A 19,877-nucleotide genomic window follows, 5' to 3' on the forward strand; every position below is an offset into this window, starting at 1 on the left:
ATGAAGCTTGTTGGAAAGAGTTTTGGAAGGGAAAGCCTGTGGGTTCATCAAAGACTTGTGGAAGCATGGTTTTGGTTTCTGTATCCCTTTGTCACCAAGTTCCTGCCAGAATCCAAGAGCGTATTCTGTAACAGGTCTGTTGATTTTTAAAAGGTTTATTGTAATTTTGCATAACCTTCTATCTTGGATATTTTGTGTTATTTTAACTTGCTATGAATTTTCCAATGAAGAATTGTGTCATTAGAGACCCATTCTTTATAAACTATAGTTTGTTCTGTAAGCAACTTTTAAACCATCTGAAGACCAGAAACATTGAAAATACCTTTTCGTTGAAGCATTTCCTAGAAGGTATTAAATATTTCATGCTTTTAAAAACACCATTTTTATAACATACTAACCTTTCCTACCTTTCTACTGAGAGATTATGAAGATTCATTATTGTTCATTGCTATAACATGTTGTGCTACTCACGGGAATCTGGATGTAGGTGGGGGAATCTTACCCTTAACACTTAATGACTTAGGCTAGGTGGTGCTTTTATATTTTTCTGCTTTTCACATATCTTCTGTTGGAATCCCTATGTTAATAATCCATGTTTATTTATTCATAGTGCACTGAGCAGCTTTCTACTCTCCCACATAGCTTCTGAACATTATTAATTAATTTGTTACAGGCTGGAAAGAATTAAGGCTTTCTGGGACAAGTAATCACATGAATAAAGTTCAAACCTTTTACAAACCACAGTTCTGATTTTTTAGACTATGAGGGTTTGAGAGTGATTTACTTCTGAAAAAATGTAAATGGCTTAAAAATATTGTTCACCACTGGAAAGATATTTTTTTCAGTTTGTTATTCTTGCTTTCTACTTTATGAAATATAAGTGGTTGAGATATTTAGAAATGTGGCTGCTGGATAATTAAGCTGTGACTATAATGTAGGCTAGAGTAAGTTGATTATTTTGTAGCTCTCTAATTGGTCTTCACATTTCCTTAACACATGTCCAGACACAAACTGCCTGGCCAAACAGCACCGTGGTTTTCTGTCAACTGAGAGGTAGTGTAAGAGTACTGCTAGTGTTGGCTCATGTATGCTGTGTGTTGTTATGAGAAAGAAAAAACAGTGTTTTGCCTAGTAGGGACTTGCCAGATAAGAATAGTACTATTTTAGAGAACAGCAAATTGCCATGACATGGTTTTGTTTCATGTATATATTTAATAGGCATAAAAGAGGCCCAAAGGAATAGAATGGAGATGTTATTAGAGTAGCAATTCAATATTAATTCCTACTACTTTATAGGTTAAATGGATACAATAATTGATATTAGTAATTTGCTTAACTTTTTAGTCCTTTAAGTGCTGAAATTGTTTATCTACAACTAAGAATGTCAAGCTTCAAAGAATTATAATTAATTTCTAAGATAATTGTTTTACCAAATTCAAGTAATATTTATTAAATTTGATTTGTTTCATGATCTTGGGTAAATAACTAAATATGTAAAATTAAGTTACCTGTACTGGTTTGCTTTTATATGGAAGGTAGAATTTAATTGGTTTTAGTAGGGTCACTCTCTATATTTTTGAAATAATTTTCAAAAATTTGAAAATATTTTAAAACTAAGGACTTAAAAAGTACTTGAGACTTAAGTGCACTTATTTATTTATTTATTTATTTATTTATTTATTTAGAGATGGTCTCGCTCTGTCACCCAGGCCGGAGTGCAGTGGTGCGATTTCGGTTTTTACATGTGGCAACTCTTTGAATAATATTAAATATTAACCTTGGACCTACTTAGCAGTTTCTTGAAAGCAGTGTTCTCAGCCTTTAGTGTTTTTAAAGGTAGTTATATGTATATTTAATTTTCTAATTCAAGCCCTCTATGGTTAAAAGTAGCTTGGATTGGATTTTCTTTTTTCTCTTTTCTTTTTTTTTTTTTTTCGAGACAGTCTTGTTCTGTTGCTCAGGCTGGAGTGCAGTGGCACGAGCTTGGCTCACTACAACCTTCGTCTCCTGGGTTTGAGCAATTCTTGTGCCTCAGCCTCCTGAGTAACTGGGATTACAGGTGTGCACCGCCATGCCCAGCTAATATATATATATATATTTTTTTTTTTGAGATGGAGTCTTGCTTTGTTGCCCAGGGTAGAGTACAGTGGCACAACCTTGGCTCACTGCAACCTCCACCTCCTGGGTTCAAGTGCTTCTCCGGCCTCAGCCCCCTGAGTAGCTGGGATTACAGGCACCCGCCACCACACCTGGATGATTTTTTATATTTTTAGTAGAGATGGGATTTCACCATGTTGGCCAGGCTGGTCTTGAACTCCTGACCTCAGGTAATCCGCCCACCTCGGCCTCTGAAAGTGCTGGGATTACAGGCGTGAGCCACCGCACCTGGCCATTTTTTGTGTGTGTTTTTAGTAGAGACAGGGTTTTGCTGTGTTGGCCAGGCTGATCTTGAACTCCTGGCCTCAAGTGATCCACCCGCCTTGGCCTCCCAAAGCACTGGGATTACAGGCCTGAGCCACTGTGCCCAGCTTCAAGTGGTTTTAAATGTAATTTACATTTATTTTGGGACACTTTCTAAAGAACCTATATGTTGTTTGTTATAATCAAATTTTATCTGCTACTTGAAGATGCTAGTTTTCATAGAAAAGCAGAATTAACAAAACAATCATTTATATTTGGAATTTGAGGTCTACATTTTTGGTTTAAGCTCATGGCAATTATTTTTGTAATTCCTTTAGCATACTCTGACTTAAAAAAGCCCAAGCTGGATAACTTAGAAATAAAGCATAAAGGTAAAGGGAAGAACTGGATTAAATTTTTTGAGAAGGAGTCTTGCTTTGTTTCCCAGTGGAGTGCAGTGGTGTGATCTTGGCTCACTGCAACCCCAGCCTCCCTGGTTCAAGTGATTCTCCTGCCTCAGCCTCCCCAGTAGCTGGGACTACAGGCGCATGCCACCACGCCTGGTAATTTGTTTTTGTAGTTTTAGCAGTGACGGGGTTTCACCGTGTTAGCTAGGATGGTCTCAATCTCCTGACCTCGTGATCTGCCGGCCTCAGCCTCCCAAAGTGCTGGGGTTACAGGCGTCAGACACCGTGCCTGGCCTAAAATTCTTTATAGAGAATAAGCAAAATATAAGGCCGTATCTAGTATTAATGTCCAAAATGTGTAACCTCACCATTAAGAACATTAAGACATAGATTGGGCTGGGCGCTGTGGCTCACGCCTGTAATCCCAGCACTTTGGGAGGCCGAGGCAGGCGGATCACGAGGTTAGGAGATCAAGACCATCCTGGCTAACACAGTGAAACCCCGTCTCTACTAAAAAGACAAAAAAAGTAGCCTGGTGTGGTGGCAGGTGCCTGTAGTCCCAGCTACTCGGGAGGCTGAGGCAGGAGAATGGCATGAATCCGGGAGGCGGAGTTTGCAGTGAGCCGAGATCGCACCAGTGCACTCCAGCCTGGGCGACGGAGCAAGACTCCGTCTCAGAAAAAATTAAAAAAGACGTAGATTGTACTGAAAATAACCATCATAACATAGAACTTAATTAGGATCATTCTCTTTAGAAATTGCATGAATTTTAAAAATTATTGTCTAGGCCGGACTCGGTGGCTCATGCCTGTAGTCCCAGCAGTTTGGGAGGCCAAGGTGGGTGGATCACTTGAGCCCAGGAGTTTGAGACCGGCCTCGGGCAACATGGAAAACCCATCTCTACAAAAAATGCAAAAATCAGCTGGGGATGGTGGCACACGTAGTCCCAGCTACTTGGGAGGATGTAGTGGGAGGATCACTTGAGCCTGGGAGGTGGAGGCTGTAGTGTGCAGAGGCCACGCCACTGCACTCCAGCCTGGATGACAGAATGAGACTCTGTCTCAAAAAAAAAGTGTTTGTGTGTGTGTGTGTGTGTGTGTACGTACACACAGCAAGAGAGAGAGAATAGTCAATGTGGTAAAAGCTTTGGTTTAACATTTTAAAAATATACTTTTAACACAAGACATTTTAAGAGGTTGCGCTGAACAACATAAAATGAGTCACTGCTTTATAATCAAAATCCTGTTCATCATAAGTACAGGCAAAGTATGGTTTTCATTAAATAAAACTCAGAAATGTTTATTTCTTAACTTCATTATTGCTATTATTTCTAAAAAATTTTTTCTGGGGCTCTGCTATTGAGGCCTTTGTTTTAATTTCCTAGAGCTGCTACAAGTTGCCAAAAACTTGGCAGCATAAAATAGCAGCAGTTCGTCAGAGTTCTAGAGGCTAGAAGTCTAAAACTGAGTTTGTGTCAAGGTTGGTTCCTTCTGGATACTCTGAGGGAGAATCCCTTCCATGCCTGTTATTGTTTCTGGTTGCAGCTGGTAATTCTTGGACATATAAGTCCAATTTCTGCCTCCATCTTTATGAGGCATTCCCCTATTTCCAATCTTCCTCTCCTTTTCTTATAGGGCAACAGTCATTGGATTTGGGGCCCATTCTAAATGCAGGGTGATCTTATCTGGAGATATTTAATTACATGTGCAAAGACCCTGTTTCCAAATAAGGTTACGATGACAGATACTGGGAGTTAGGACTTGGATATATCTTTTTCGGGGGGACACAAGTCAACTCACTATAGTATTACAGGATTTTTTCTTTTATGCTTTAGTTTTTCTGAAAGTGGTTGAGATGTAAAATTCTGTGTGGTTGTATTAAGTGTTTATTCAAATTCAGCAATCATGTTTTGAATGCCTATGAGTTGCTGTGAAGAGATAGAGGAAAGATTAGGAGCCTGCCTCTGAGTTCTTAAATTATGGAAGATAGACATAAATAAACTAAATTTGAGTTGAAATTGATAATTACTATGGAGTATCGGTACAAAGTTCCATTGACATTTAGAGTAAGCCTAAGAAAGATACCAAGGGAAAGACTTATTGAAAGGGAATTAATTCTATTTGAATTAGGCTTTGAAGGATGATAGGATCTTAACTGGCAAAAATAGGATAGTGTATTTTATAGCATAAAATCAAGGAGGTGGAATTTGGGGGGGTGGTGGTGAAAGTATTGTTTATAGTATAATAGTACAGTCTTGGAGAGTTAGGACATAAGCGTAATTGTTAAGTAACATTTGAAAACAGTAGATGACTACAGGTATCAAAATATGTGCTGTATTGCTGGAGAAATGAGATTGATCTGGACTGCAATATTTGTTAGGTTTTACCTTGAAGGATGGGTTAGCTTGAATAGAGGCTACATAAGAGAAAATCTAGTTTCAACATGAAGGAGCAGAATAAGGCCTGGAGTCAAGAATGAGCGTGTCACTCAATATTTGAGGGCCTAGCATTTTCAAAGACATTACAGTAGTCACCTCTTGTCTGTGGATTCAAGTGTTAAGTTGCATGCCATTCTGAGTAGCGTAATGAAATCTCACACAAGAGTCATCCCCTTGTCCAGCCTATCCATGCTGTATATGCTACCTACCATTAGACACTTAATAATCTTGGTTATCCTATCAACTATTGCAGTATTGTAGTGCTTGTGTTCAGGTAACCCTTATTTTACTTTATTGTGGCCCCAAGGTATAAGTGTAGAGATGATGGCAATTGGATATGCCAAAGATAAGTCATTAAGTCATAAACTGAAAAGGTGAAAGTACTTGAGAAGAAAATTATATGCAGAGATTGGTAAGATCTAAGGTAAGAACAGATCTTCATGAAATTGTGAAGAAAAAACATTCGTGCTAGTTTTAAGATGAAAAAGGCATTAGCCCATTTATGCCTAGTGTTTTATTATTGGAACGTTAAGCTTGTGAGAGTTATTTATATCCTGCTGCTCAAGGTCATTGCCAAGGTCTGATTTTTCACAGATTTTGCAACCTCCGGTATAAATGGGTTAAATTTGTGGGTGGAAGACACGAACAGAAAGAAATGTGTTCCAGCTGACGTCAGGGTGTTGCCGCGAAAGCACTGAGCCTATACAAACATTCAGCAAGGGATCTCCTGAAATGAGTGATACCAAGCCATTTGCTGCAAATAAGGGATGGTTACACAGATTCAGGAATGGGTTTGGACTGAAGTATTTAAGAATTACTGAAGAGGCTGTGTCTGTTGATGAAGAAGCTGCTGCCTCATTTCCGGCAGAGTTGAAGTTAAGGAGCAAGGATACCATTCAAAGCAAGTCTTCAATTGCAGTGACATCAGGCTCTTCTGGGAGAAGATGCCCAATAGAACTTAGATTCATAAAAGTGCAAATGCGGCGGTATCAGGGCATACAGCATGGAAGAACAGATTAACTCTGGTACTATATGGCATTGCTGCAGGGCATATGATAAAGCGAGGTGTAGTGTATAGAGTGAAGAACCTACATGATCTCGAAAACAAAACAAAATATTATGTGTCTTGGCAACATAATCAGTGTGGGTGACAGCCATTTTTATGGAATGGTTCCACCAGTGCTTCATCCCAGAAGTGCAAAAATACTTGAAAGAGAAAGGGTTAGAATTTAAAGTATTAATAATGGACAATACATGAATCTGTCTGCTATGAAAATGAAAATGTTGAGGTGGTATTTTTACCTCCAGATAAAACCTCACTGCTTCAGTCCCTGAACAGGGCATCATTCGGTTTGTCAGGGCCACATACAACTGCCTGATATTTGAACACATTTGGTCAGCAATTGCTGCAGACCCTAATACGTATATAATGCAGTGCTGGATATCATTCACTATTGCTCATGTGATAACATTCATCAAAGCTGCAGTGGATGAATTAAAACCAGAAACAGGTAAATACCTGCTGGAAGAATGTGGAATTATATATATGATTTAAAGGCTTCCTAGGGACCCATGGCAAGTTTAAATCATGTAGCAAGACAAGACAATCCTTCACAGAACTTGTGAAGGATTTGCTGATGTGCTTGATGAAGAGCATATCAAAGGCCATCACGAAGTGTTAACAAATGAGGAATTGGAAGAAATTTTTGAGTCATCTGCAGAGGGAGAGGAAGATTAAAAAAACTGAAGCAGAATAGCCAACATAGACATTAATTAAACTTGCCGAAGTGTTTTGAATTGCACAGACATTAAACAACAGAATTATAGAATACGATCCTCAGATGAGACACAGCATTAAAGTTACCAATATGATCACCAAAGGATTACAGTCTCTGCAGCAACACTTCGATGAGCTGAAGAGTCAACAACTTCTGGTTACAGTGTTCTTCCAAAATTTTTCAGCAAAAAGACCCCAAAATAGAAATCCTTCACCTATTGAGGATCCCCAACCATCAACATTGTCTGCTCCTTAACCATCAACATTACCTTGGCTCAGTGATCCAGGATTACCCGAAGTTATTTTGATGATAATGTAGCCTAACTACATCACTTATACCTACATCAGTCACCTCATTTCATCTCTTCATGTAGGCATTGTATGACATCTCACAGCCTCACAAGGGTGAGTACAAGATATTTTGAGAGAGAGAAACCACATTTGCATAACTTTTATTACAATATATTGTTGTAATTGTTCCATTTTGTTAGCTATTGTTAATCTCTTAATGTGCCTAATTACAAATTAAACTTGATCGTAATTATGCATGCATAGGAAAAAACAGGCCGGACATGGTGGCTCACGCCTGTAATCTCAGCACTTGGGAAGTTGAGGCGGGCACATCACTTGAGCTTAGGAGTTCGAGACCAGCCTGGGCAACATGGCGAAATTAATTAGTCAGAAATATGTATATACCAACATACTAATATGTTTCAGCTATAAATACTTCTAACATTTCACATGTATATTTATGTAATCACCACAATCAAACTACAGAACTTTTCCACCACAAGGCTCCCTTTATAGCCACATTCTCCTTCCCTTCAGTCCCAAGACCTGGCAACCACGAATCTTGTTTCCCATCTCTATAGCTTTATTATTTAAGAATGTTACAAAAACAGAATCATACAGTGTGTAAAACTTTAGGATTGTCCCCCCAAACCACCCAAGCATAATTCCCTTGAGGTCCATGCAATTTGTTACATGTATCAGTAGTTTGTTCCTTCATATTACTATTTAGTATTCCATGGTGTGGACATACTAAACCATTCACTCTTTTTGAAGGACATCCAGGTTGTTTCCGGGTTTTGGCTATTATAAATGAAGGTGCTATGTAACATTTGTGAATGTTAAGTTTTAACTTCTCAGGGATAACTGTCAAGTAGTACAAATGCCAGTTATATGTTAAATGTATGTTTAGTTTTATAAGAAACTGCCAAGAATATTTTCCACAGTGGCTCTACTATTTCATATCTCACCAGCAACGTATGAGTGGTCCACTTATCCAATTTCTCTTGCATCCTAGCAAAACAACTCTAAAATTTATCATTTGGAACTGTCTTTTCTTTCTGCAATGGTATTACGTGTCCTTTTAGAATTGAAATCAAGGGTAGAAAGGTTAGATTTAGTCCAGCCTCCCATTTCATATTAGCTGTAGTAACAATCCCCTTTACAACATTTGATCATTATTGCCACTTAACACTTCCAGGATTAGGGAGTAGTATCTTTCTTTCTGAGGGAGTTTATATCAGTTTGGGTAACAGATTCTCATTGTTCATTTTACTGCTTTCCTATTTCTTCCTCATCTTCCATAAAAGGCACAATAATAAATCTAAGCTTGTTAAAACAGAAACAAAAACAACACAAGTACTAAAACGAGGGTTTTTGTTTGTAAAACTGTCAATTAGGATTTTAATTCATGGTCAGTGAAGACCTTCAGGATTTTCCCTGCCCTGCATTTTCTTGCCTTTTTCTTTCAGATGCAGGGATCCAGAGTCCATCTCCATTGTGCCCTGTCTTATGTAACATCATCCTAGCTCTAGATTCTTTAATTGGTGTCCTTTCCCCAGACGTACATTAGGTGTATGGCTCCAGGTTATGACAACAGCCTTCCAGAAGCCTTAGACACCTGAAAGTGATAGCAGTGCAGAAGCAGAAAGGTGCCTAAGGATTTCTACCAGCTTGTGGTAGAAGAGTGGCTTGTCTGGATGGTTTGAGGGAAATGACCAAATAATAACCTACCTACACCAAGCATTGTACTTTTCCTATATGCTAACAAGTTTTAAGATGTTTCTGAACAAGTTTTAAAATATTTCTGAAAATGAAATAGTCTCAAAGGAGTTTTGATTTTGCAAGATCACTTAGCAAATGATCCAAGGATAACTGACAGGATTCTATATTGTGTTGGTTGAAAATTAAGAATCCTGAGCCATATTCCAGACCTGAATAATCAATTTCTGGGGTGAGGTGGAGCAGGTAAGTTCCCTGGGTGCTTATTTAGCATACCAAACTTTAAGAACTGATTATCTTTCCTTTCATATATTTTGAGCAAAAACTGTACCTTTTAGGAACAGTGCATGTTTAGGCAACAGGTGAATAAGTACATATAGAAACAGAACTCCAATGCAAAGTAGAGTGATGTACAATAAGAGGTGTAGAGAGCTATGGGGTTTCAAAACAGGAGGAGAGAGCACATTATTAACTAAATAGAGATGAAGGAAGGCTTTCAGGAGTAGACAGCATTTACAAATGACTGGCAGTTAATTTTCTTTGATAATTTTTATTATATACATATCAGTACTCACAATACGTTGCTTATTTAAGATGGCTGTTTATAAGTATAAAGCAGTTTGAGCAACACTGATTGTGCATTATTGTACTTCAGATGAAAAATCCTTACATGTGGAATCAATGTCTTTTAAAATTTCAGATAAAGAATTTTCATTTGAGGAGACATACAATTGTAAGTGCTCATTTTTTGTCAATTTTAAGACACCATTATGTGTAAGAAGGATTAATTTTACCATAAAATTACAAACACCCTCCATGTCTTGACATTCACATGAAAGAACAGCATAACATTAATCATCCAAATGCATATCAGAGCAAACTCTAGGCCTTAGTGTGAGGTGAACACGGTAACTGCTACATTATGGAAATCGGTTGGGCCTTAGTTAAATATTGTAGTATTTTTAAAATTTGTATATTGAAAAAGACAAAATGAGCTGTTAAGTGATAAACAGCTTACTCAATTTAGCATAACTTTAATTTAGAAATGGAATAGTGAAATTAAAAAAAGCATATGAAGCAGATAAACAGTATGTCTTTAGAAATATTAAAGATTTTTACTCTGTTTACAAGTTTTGCTTTTTTGGTTATGCCTCTTAAATATCTGTCTTTTTACTTTGTCTATAAAAATAATTGTCCTTAGTATTCCTAAATTCTTTTCCAAATAAAGCAATTATCGTTTTTATATGGTAAGAAGTTACTGAATCATAGGTTTAAGATCAGTGGCACAAATCATACATGTAGAAGATTATGTAACAAATTCATTGTTAGGTAAGGAGTCAGAGAGTACAGTACAGTAACAGCCATACAGGAGAGGTAGAATTCTTAATCACAGTTTTATAGAAAAGATGCAGTAGTTTATATCTGTACCCTGCTTTATTAGTTATGGTACTGTAAATTTGCTTCTCATTGCAAATTTAACAGCGCAAAAGGGAGGGGTATTCATAGGCAAGGATCTTATTGACCTTTGTTCTGCAAGTGTTGCAGAGGATACCCCTAGACACCTGAAGCATTTTCTTGGCCAATTAAGGTAATTGATCATATACGGCATTTACCTCATTTTTAAAAACCTTGCCAGTAGGGAAATCTAAGCTGCTCTTCTCCCAGGGGCCTAAGAGGGAAATGTATCTCTTTTTATACTACTATGAGTGTAAATGAAATCACTCTCTGGTTATCATTATTGCTCATCAAGAATTCCAGCATTACTAACCTGTTGAGGGGTTCTATACCCCAAATTTTAAGTTTGTTTCTAACTCACAATGTAGTCATAAACAACGTTATAAATGGGCATAACTTAAAAATTATAGTTCATTCATGATGAAGTTAAATTACTAGTACTTGAGTAAGACCCCCATAGACTTCAAAAAGCTAGATGGCAGAAACTTTGTTGTATATATGGGTTATTCACATTTAGGTGTTTAAAACTTGGGAGTCTATGTTTCTAATCCTTACTTCAACATCAATAAATAAAGTGTTCAGAAAGGCCATTTTAATAAAAGTTGTTATAATAAAAATTTTTAATAAATATGTACACCCAGTGCTAAACCTTACAGTAGGGCTTACATTTTATAAAATGTACCTGCTTACAAAAATAATTCAAACCAGAATTCTTGTAGAAAATAAAAACCTACAGCCAAAGTTTCTTCCAGCTAACTGGAAATTAATCATCTCCTTTGATTTATGTTATGAGTAGGATGTCATGATGAGCCAGTCAGATTCTAGATATTTATTTATAGTTCTACTTAAGTGAATTTTATTTTGGATTAGGTTTTCTCAAGTTTTTCTAAATTCTTTCCTGTTTCTGATAATTCTTAGAGCTCAGAAAAGGAGATATTTATTTATGGTAGGCCCAGATCATTTTAGCAATATTTCCTTCATAACTGCTGGTAATAATGAATTATCCAAGTCAGCAATCATGTTAAAATTAACATAACATGATTATTAACTGTTGACAGATATTAACTTGACAGATACTATTAAAAATAAACTTATTTTACCTCACATTTAATTTTAAAATCCTACACTTTAGTTAAGGGTTAGAGAAAATGTGTCCCTATGGAGGAGGAAGCTTTTAAACTATATTCTTCATTTCAAAGAGAAAACATGTCCTAATTTTAGTAAGTGTAACTTTGTGTTTTTAAGAATCGTGAAAATGTCAGCTTTTGGGAATGTAAGCAAAGTACAAAGACTAATGCTTTCTGCTAATATGTTACACTGAAATGTATTTGGTTATAAAAATCTCAAAAACCTAATTGTATTTCAAAGCTATTATTCTATTTACATTATAGGAGAGATGCATATGTAAATAGAGAAAAGTTGGGCTTTTGTAGTCTAAAGATTTATTCAATCCATCATTAGGTAATTCTCAGGTGATTTATAACTTAAAACTGAAAACTTCCACAGTTAATTTGTAACTGCCGCATTTACAAAAAAGTTCTGGGTAATAGAACCTGTTAAAAACAGACTGGTGTTGCAATTAGGCCCAATACTCATTTATTTAAATCACCTAAGACATTTGCAAAATTTTTCAAAGTTAGGAAAATGCAGTTATTAATATGGCTTCATTCAGTTAAACCTATATTCTGCAAAATATTCCTGTTACACACTTAAGTACAACTGGATCAGCAGGATTACTTGCACAGAAAGTGAAGACTTAATTTTCACATTAAAATTATACCTGTTTCCTACTTTTATATCTCAAAATATTTTGGAGAAGACCATTAATGGTCTTGACTGTAACAGTTTATTGCATTTTTATGCCTCATTTTTCAATGTTACGTACTCTAGTTTGGAGTTTTAAGTTCTACTTTTCCTCTTATCTTCAAACAGACTCTTCAGCATATAAACTTGAATGGCTGACACCACCACCATGACCACTAAATTAACCATAGACCAGAAATTGACTCTATCAAAGTTGCTTTCTTGTATGTTTCGATCACGAGCTTCAAATGCTCTAAGCAGAGTTTGTATGTGCCCACTTTTGCTTAGTCTGGACTTGATGCTGTTGATGGATTCCTGGAGATAAATAAAATAATTTTATTATTAAAGAATGCTCAGAAATTTTAACTTAATTAAAAAATGAGGCTGGGTGCAGTGACTCATGCCTTGTAATCCTGGAACTTTGGGAGACTAGGGCAGGAGGACCCCTTGAACCCAGGAGTTCAAGACTGGGCTGGACAACACAGACAGACTCTGCCTCTACAAAAAGATGGGTATGGTAGCACCAAGTGTGGTCCCAGCTACTTGGGAGGCTGAGGTGGGGGGATCACTTGAGTCCAGGAGGTTGAGATTGCAATGAGCCATAATGGTGCCACTGCACTCCAGCCTGGGCAACAGAGTGAGTGAGACCCTGTCTCAAAAAAAGTTTTTTTCAAAATATGCTTTATGTTTTTTATCCAAACACAATTTTAAGTTAGATGGCTGCACAATTCAATTAAAGGGCAGGTACTATTTATATTACATTAGAGATTCTCTGTAAGGTTATATAATAGTTCTCCTGACATATTTATATTGTTTATAAGTAGTTATTTAACAAGGGAACAAAGCTACTGTGAATTGAAAATAGGTAACATGAAATTATTCTGAGTGGCATAGCATCAGGAGTTTTACGTACATTATCTCTTTCTTAGTCCTCACACAACCAAAGGAAATGACTAAGGTTTTTTTTTTTTTTTTTTTTGTCGGGGGATGGAGTTTGCCTAGGCACAATCTCGGCTCATTGCAACCTGAGACTGTGCCTGGTCAAATGATTAAGTTTTTAGAGATGGGGTCTTGCTATATTGGAGTGTAGTATCTATTTATATGTGTGACCATGGTTCACTGCAGCCTTGAACTGGGCTCAAATGATCCTCCCCCTAACCTTCTGAGTAGCTGGGATTACAGGTACCTGCTACCATGCCTGGCAAATGATTTCATTTTTAAAAACCCAATTGATATAACTTTAGGTATTTACCTATTACATAATGCATGTGTTTATAATATTTCCTTCTTTGTATGTTTATCTGAACAATTTAGTATTCAGTAAAACACCCAATGTTTTAATACCACAAAATAGTTGTGAAATTAGAAAACATTTTACTTTTCATATGCCTGCTGTATAATCAGAAGCATAATCTATTTATAATTTAAAAATTCTAACTGCACATTTATAAAACAAACTTACCAAGATGCAGTCTTATTTGCACATCTGAAGCTATTTTTATAATAGGGTCCTGGAAGATAAGTTATTTGAAAACTATAAAAGGGCTATATTAATATAAAATAAAATTAAGCTGATACTTGAGGTCAAAGTATTTATGGCAAAAATAAAATATTAGAAACAGATTTTCCTGGATAATGCAGATAAAATGCTTAGTTCAGTAACTTATTACCATAGTAAGGCCTCTGGCTGTTAATAATTTTTATTTTATTAGAAGACCATACTGACCAGGATGTCTTCCAGTTTCATATCCAATATATCTGTGCCAGTAATATATTTCTTCCAATCTTCTTGTTCTTGTGCCTGTTCTCCCATATTATCCAGGATTAATTCAAAGAAAATCACCTTCTCAGAAATGGTGCTGAATGTATTGTCAAAGCAGAACATGTAATCACCAACTTCAGTCTCTACACTGTATAAAAAAAAGTACATGTTTTAAGTTACCTGTATTTCTATTTGTGATGAAAAGCAACTAAAGGTAAAAATAAGAAGTAACAGGCTGAGTGTGTTGCCTCACACCTGTAATCCCAGCATTTTGAGAGGGCAAGGCTGGTAGATCACTTTAGCTCAGGAGTTTGAGACCAGCCTGGGTAACATGGCAAAATCCTGTCTCTACAAAAAAATAACAAAAATTAGCAGAGTGTGAGGATTGCTTGAGCCCGGAAGGTTGAAGATGCAGTGAGGCATGATCATGCCACTGCACTCCAGCCTGGGCAACAGAGCAAGATCCTGTCTCAAAAAAAAAAAAAAAAAAAAAGAAACCAACAAAACAAAAAACAAATAACATAGTTTATAGTAATTGGACAGCTTACCCATAAATTTCCTTAGTATTGAAAGATAATTTATAATTTCTTGGGAAAGAAGCAACCTGAAAATATATATGTTCAAGTACAACTTAGACATGTTTGGCATTTACTCAGTAAATTATGGTTAGTGACCTCATTTTTGGAAAAGGATAGAATTAAAAACCTGTATACATAACTCATAATAAACTTTAATATTTATACATTATTAAAAGTATTTTATCATGAGTTCAATTCATATGCAGATATGACTGCCAACCTACCCTACAACTGAGATTAAACTGAGTTTTGTTTTCAAAAGCAGTGATGGATTGTCCTAAATGTCTTCTTCCAGGCCTCTTACTGATTTTGCCTATTAACTGCCACTGGCTCCCTTATAGATGTTTATGTTTGATCCTAAATGCTTTTTTTGAGAATTAAATAAAACTAGTTTATATTTTATTATTTAATTCTATAAAGGTAATTCAGCCCATCATTAATTATGCCAAGTGCTGAAGAAAAAAATGAATAATATCTGAATTACCAGTACCCTAGTTAAAATTAGTTTCCCATATTAGCGAAAGTTAAAAGCAGGGCCAGGTGCGGTGGCTCATACCTACAATCACAGCGCTTTGGGAGTCTGAGGCAGGATTACTGTAGGCCAGGGGTTCGAGATTAGCCTGGGCAAAAGTGAGACCTTGTCTCTACAAAAATTAAAAAATTAGCCGAGTACACACCTGTAGTCCTAGCTACTCGGGAGGCTTGGTTGAGCCCAGTACTTTAGGCTGCAGTAAGCTATGGTCACACCATTGCACTCTGGCCTGGGCAACATAGTGAGACCTTGTCTTTAAAAAAGAAATTACATTTAAAAGAAAAAGAAAAAGCCTACTTAAGAAAAACCAGTGACATACTCAGATGTTTGCTGCTCTTACAAAATTAATATAGCTAAAGATAAAAGCTTTGTTTAATGTTTAAAAAACAGATTTGTAGGCCGGGCACAGTGGCTCACGCCTATAATCCCAGCACTTTGGGAGGCCGAGGCAGGCAGATCACGAGGTCAGGAGATCCAGACCATCCTGGCTAACACGGTGAAACCCCGTCTCTACTAAAAAGACAAAAAATTAGCCGGGCGTGGTGGCGGGCGCCTGTAGTCCCAGCTACTCAGGAGGCCGAGGCAGGAGAATGGCGTGAACCCAGGAGGCGGAGCTTGCAGTGAGCCGAGATCGCGCCACTGCACTCCAGCTGGGCAACAGAGTGAGACTCCGTCTCAAAAAAAAAAAAAAAAAAAAAAATTTGTAAATCTGGTATAGTGATTAATAGTGAGTTGGACTGCCTGAATGTATATCCTGGCTTTGCCGTTCACTAGCTGTGTAACCTTCAGCAACTTAATTGTTCTATGCCTCAGTTTCCCCATTGGTAAAATAATATTTACGTCATAGGACTGTGGTTAAGAATAAAAAAATTAGTACATGAAAAGTGCTGAGAACACTGGCCTGGCATATCAAAAGAATGCAATAAATGTGAACTATTATAAACTCAATTATTTTCTCCCAATTATTTAATGAGAGGTAATTCTACACAAGGAAGCAGTAAGATACTTATTTTTCTAACAGTGAATTTTATTATCTCAAAAAGGGAGCAAATAATTGGGGAGAAATAAAGACTGACATACATTTTGAACATTTTTAAAATTCTGAAACTTAAAAGATGAACTACATTTTTAGTTTTGTTTTTTTTTTTGAGATGGAGTCTCTGTCGCCAGGCTGGAGTACAGCGGCGCCATCTCAGCTCACTGCAACCTCCGCCTCCGGGGTTCAAGCAATTCTGCCTCAGCCTCCCAAGTAGCTGGGACTACAGGCGTGTGCCACCATGACCAGCTAATTTTTGTATTTTTAGTAGAGACAAGGTTTCACCATGTTGGCCAGGATGGTCTCAATTTCTTGACCTCGTGATCCACCCACCTTGGCCTCGGAAAGTGCTGGGATTATAGGCGTGAACCGCAGTGCCTGGCCCATTTTTACTTCTTATACACCTATCAAAGAGAAAACAGTTAATTCCAAGTATATCAATATAAACTGACTTTTAAAATTACTATTTCTATCTTATTTAGTAATAGCTTATGCAAATATTTTTCTGAGCTCTGCATAGGTAAAATGCCATTTAAAATGCATTTTAAATGAGTATCTTAAAAAATTATTGTTGAGACATTTTTTTCCTCTCATCCATTCATACATGTATTCAGTGTTTACTGAGTATCGATTATGTATCAGGCATTTTGGTTAACAAAGACCAATAATTTTAATAATAGCTAGTTCTTACAATAGTGTTATGTACCAGGGATGTTCTAAGCATATGGTAGAAAGCAAAGAGTTTTGGTCCATCCTGTCTCCACCCTGCATGTGTATCCCTGGAGACTTATTTGACTTCTCTGAGCCTCCTTGTCTATAAAATGGGAATCTTGAGTCAAAGACTCTATCTCATAGTGTAATGGAAAGATTAATTTAGAAGCCTATAACATGCCAACCCTTGTTTATAGCAAATACTAGATACTCCATATTTGCTCTTCTTCCTACAGACTCACAGTTTAAACATATAACAAAACTGACTTAAGAAAATGTTATAGTAAGATAATAGAATGGAACCAGGAAACATACCAGTGAGATATGAAAAGAGGGAAGTGAGGTGTCAGAAGAAGAATATATGGTCTTTTGCTGAACTCTGAACTCAAAGAGTTATAACAAGTATTTTATTTTTATATAGTTCCCTATGATCAGATCTTTTACTTTCAGGCCTTCTAATTACCTAAAACGAATGAGGTCTGAATAAAAAAAAAAAATTTACGTACACACAAAGATATACTGTCCTGTTTTAAGAAAGAAAACTATGGACAAAAATGGCATATAGCCAGCAGCTCAAGAAACTTTAAGACATATACCTGGAACAGTAGCTTTAAGTTAAAATAGAAAGCTTGTGCTGGCCAGAAGGCAGGTTTAAAATGCCACGATAGATTGAATGGAATACCAGGGGAATACTAATTTACTAACCAAAGCACAGAAAAAATTTAGCCTGGATCAAAAGAAAACGCTTAAACAAAAATAGAAAGGTTAATGGAAGATGTTTTTGTTTATCAGATGGCACACTATCATGAACTGTTTTAAATCATATGGAATTATCTAATATTGATATGTAGTATCAAATGTGCTAACTTTCCATGCCCTGCAGATAACCCACTGGTATTATTCAGCAATGAAACTCAACTAAAAGAGATTACTTACGTGTGAACTCCATCTGATTTTCTTTGTTCAAAAACTAAGGTTTTGCCTTCTGGAGAGGCAAGATGGAAATCAATATCTAATCCTGCTCCATCTAAAACCTGTAGAAAAGCATACATGAGAAAAACATATATTACAAATTCTGGAAATAAAAAATTATATACAGTAGATCATATGATGTAAAGATTATCTAAGCTAGAGAGGTAAGAAAGTCATCAGTGATGTCTGAGCTAGAAAAGAACCAAAAGATCATCTAGTTCAATTCCATTCATTTTTGGAACTTGTCCCTTCCTTACCCATTTCTCTCACCATCACCTAAATTTAGGCCTTATGGATATTACTGAAATAAATCTTCCTAAAATAGTGGTTTCATTCAGAATCCCTGTAGAATGGACGGAAACACAAAGAGCAGTTCAAATGCTGGGCGTTTTAGTTAAAACTTAGGCAATTGGCAGGGCGCGGTGGCTCACGCCTGTAATCCCAGCACTTTGGGAGGCCGAGGCAGGTGGATCATGAGGTCAGGAGTTCGAGACCAGCCTGACCAACATGGTGTAACCCTGTCTCTACTAAAAATAGAAAAATCCCAGCTACTCAGGAGGCTGAGGCGGGAGAATCGCTTGAACCCAGGAGGTGGACGTTGCAGTGAGCCGAGATTGTGCCACTGCACTCCAGCCTGGGCGACAGTGAGACTCGGTACCCCGCCCCCCCTGCCTCCCCTGCCCCCCCAAAAAAAGACTTAGGCAATTTCAGACATTGTATATAACTTTTTTGTTTCCTCTTCAATAAAAGAATAATAATTAACTGTTTCTTAGCCTGGAATTCAAGACCACCATGGTGTGGACTCCAACTGACTTCAACACATTCTTCTACTACTTCCCAGTATGAATTGTGTATTCGAAGCAGGCCGGTTCATTTACTAGCCAATGAATACAATCTATCCATTTGTAATTCCAAAATGTCCTTCTATGAAGATGATGATGATAATCATGGCAACTAACAATTATAGTTGATGCCATAAATTGTCTTAAATGCTTTATGTGGATTAATTTATTCCTTATAACAACTCTAAAAGGTAGGTCCTATTATTCTCATTTTAGTAAAAAAACAACAAAAACTGAGGCACAGAGAAATCATTTTTCCAAAGTGACACAGCATTAATTCATCTAGGCCACATTAAAAAAAATAAGTAAAAAATAAACCAAAGTGATACAGCAAATAAGTGACATGGTCAAAATTTGAACTCAGCAATCTGCCTCTAGAATAATTTTTAATAAGTATGCTGTGTTGCCTCTATTTCTGTTCCATTCTCCTGAATAGGTACTCATCCAATTGTATTCATTCTTTAAGAGCCAGTTTAACCCATTTATGCCTTGTGTTCCATTAGTGGAACACTAAGCATGTAGGAGTTATTTATATCCTACTGCTCAAGGTCATTGCCAAGGTCTCATTTTGCAATTCAAAAAATTGCAACCTCCTGCATAAATGGGTCAAGTCCTTTGAAATCTCCTCTGAATCCTCCTGTCCAGTTCTCTCACACTCTCTCTTGTATTACTACAGATTGCACACCTATCCTCTTTGGCACTTATGAGACGTTCTCTGGAATCTAAGCATCTTTTTGTAGGATTCACTTAGCATAAACTTGTAGGTACCTTTATGGACACCTATGTGGCATATCCAACATAGATGATAAGATGGATGAAAATTTTGTTCACTATTTTTATAACTCCAAGGGTACTGGTCCTAACAATGTTATTATCCATATTTTGATTTTTTGTCACAGATGCAAATATTTAATAAATGCATCTTTTTATCATCCTATACAAATTAAAGTGTCTCAGTGTTTTCCCTGTAGATCTGTCTGCAAACTTCTCTTCCTGTCTTCCTCTTTCCCTGCGTTTTCTCTTCTGTATTTATAGTGTTTGCTAAAATTTTAAAAAGAATCTATTTGGAACACTATATAGTACAGCCTTTTAACTGAAAAAAAAAAAAACCTAACTCAATGGCTACTCTTTTTCTTAACACTCCATTTTATTTTT

At 36.7% G+C, this 19,877-nt stretch overlaps 1 protein-coding gene across 4 annotated transcripts in view, besides 1 other annotated feature; it reads right to left on the bottom strand.

The window, feature by feature from the left end:
• Positions 4,265 to 4,465: a silencer, noted in NCBI's record as "peak321 fragment used in MPRA reporter construct". NCBI's record gives its function as "represses an SCP1 promoter by STARR-seq MPRAs in K562 erythroleukemia cells {active_cell/tissue: K562}" and the evidence as "EXISTENCE:reporter gene assay evidence [ECO:0000049][PMID:32103011]".
• Positions 7,458 to 19,877, bottom strand: part of TMED5 (transmembrane p24 trafficking protein 5) — a 30,672-nt gene continuing 18,252 nt past the window's right edge. The window contains exons 2-5 of one of the 4 annotated variants that reach the window (NR_030761.2): positions 17,845 to 17,942; positions 16,531 to 16,601; positions 14,016 to 14,199; positions 7,458 to 12,604 (exon numbers count right to left, since the gene is read on the bottom strand). Coding sequence is in view for 3 of the 4 variants with exons in the window: in NM_016040.5 (NP_057124.3) it covers positions 12,386 to 12,604; positions 14,016 to 14,199; positions 17,845 to 17,942 (501 nt within the window). In the remaining variant the exon portion in view is untranslated. Of the gene's footprint in view, positions 12,605 to 13,751; positions 13,801 to 13,973; positions 14,200 to 16,530; positions 16,602 to 17,844; positions 17,943 to 19,877 lie in introns of those variants that run through there. The other 3 variants (NM_001167830.2, NM_016040.5, NM_001410825.1) reach the window with 3 other exon arrangements.

Source organism: Homo sapiens, chromosome 1 (assembly GCF_000001405.40).
Source record: "Homo sapiens chromosome 1, GRCh38.p14 Primary Assembly".
Lineage (NCBI taxonomy): Eukaryota > Metazoa > Chordata > Mammalia > Primates > Hominidae > Homo > Homo sapiens.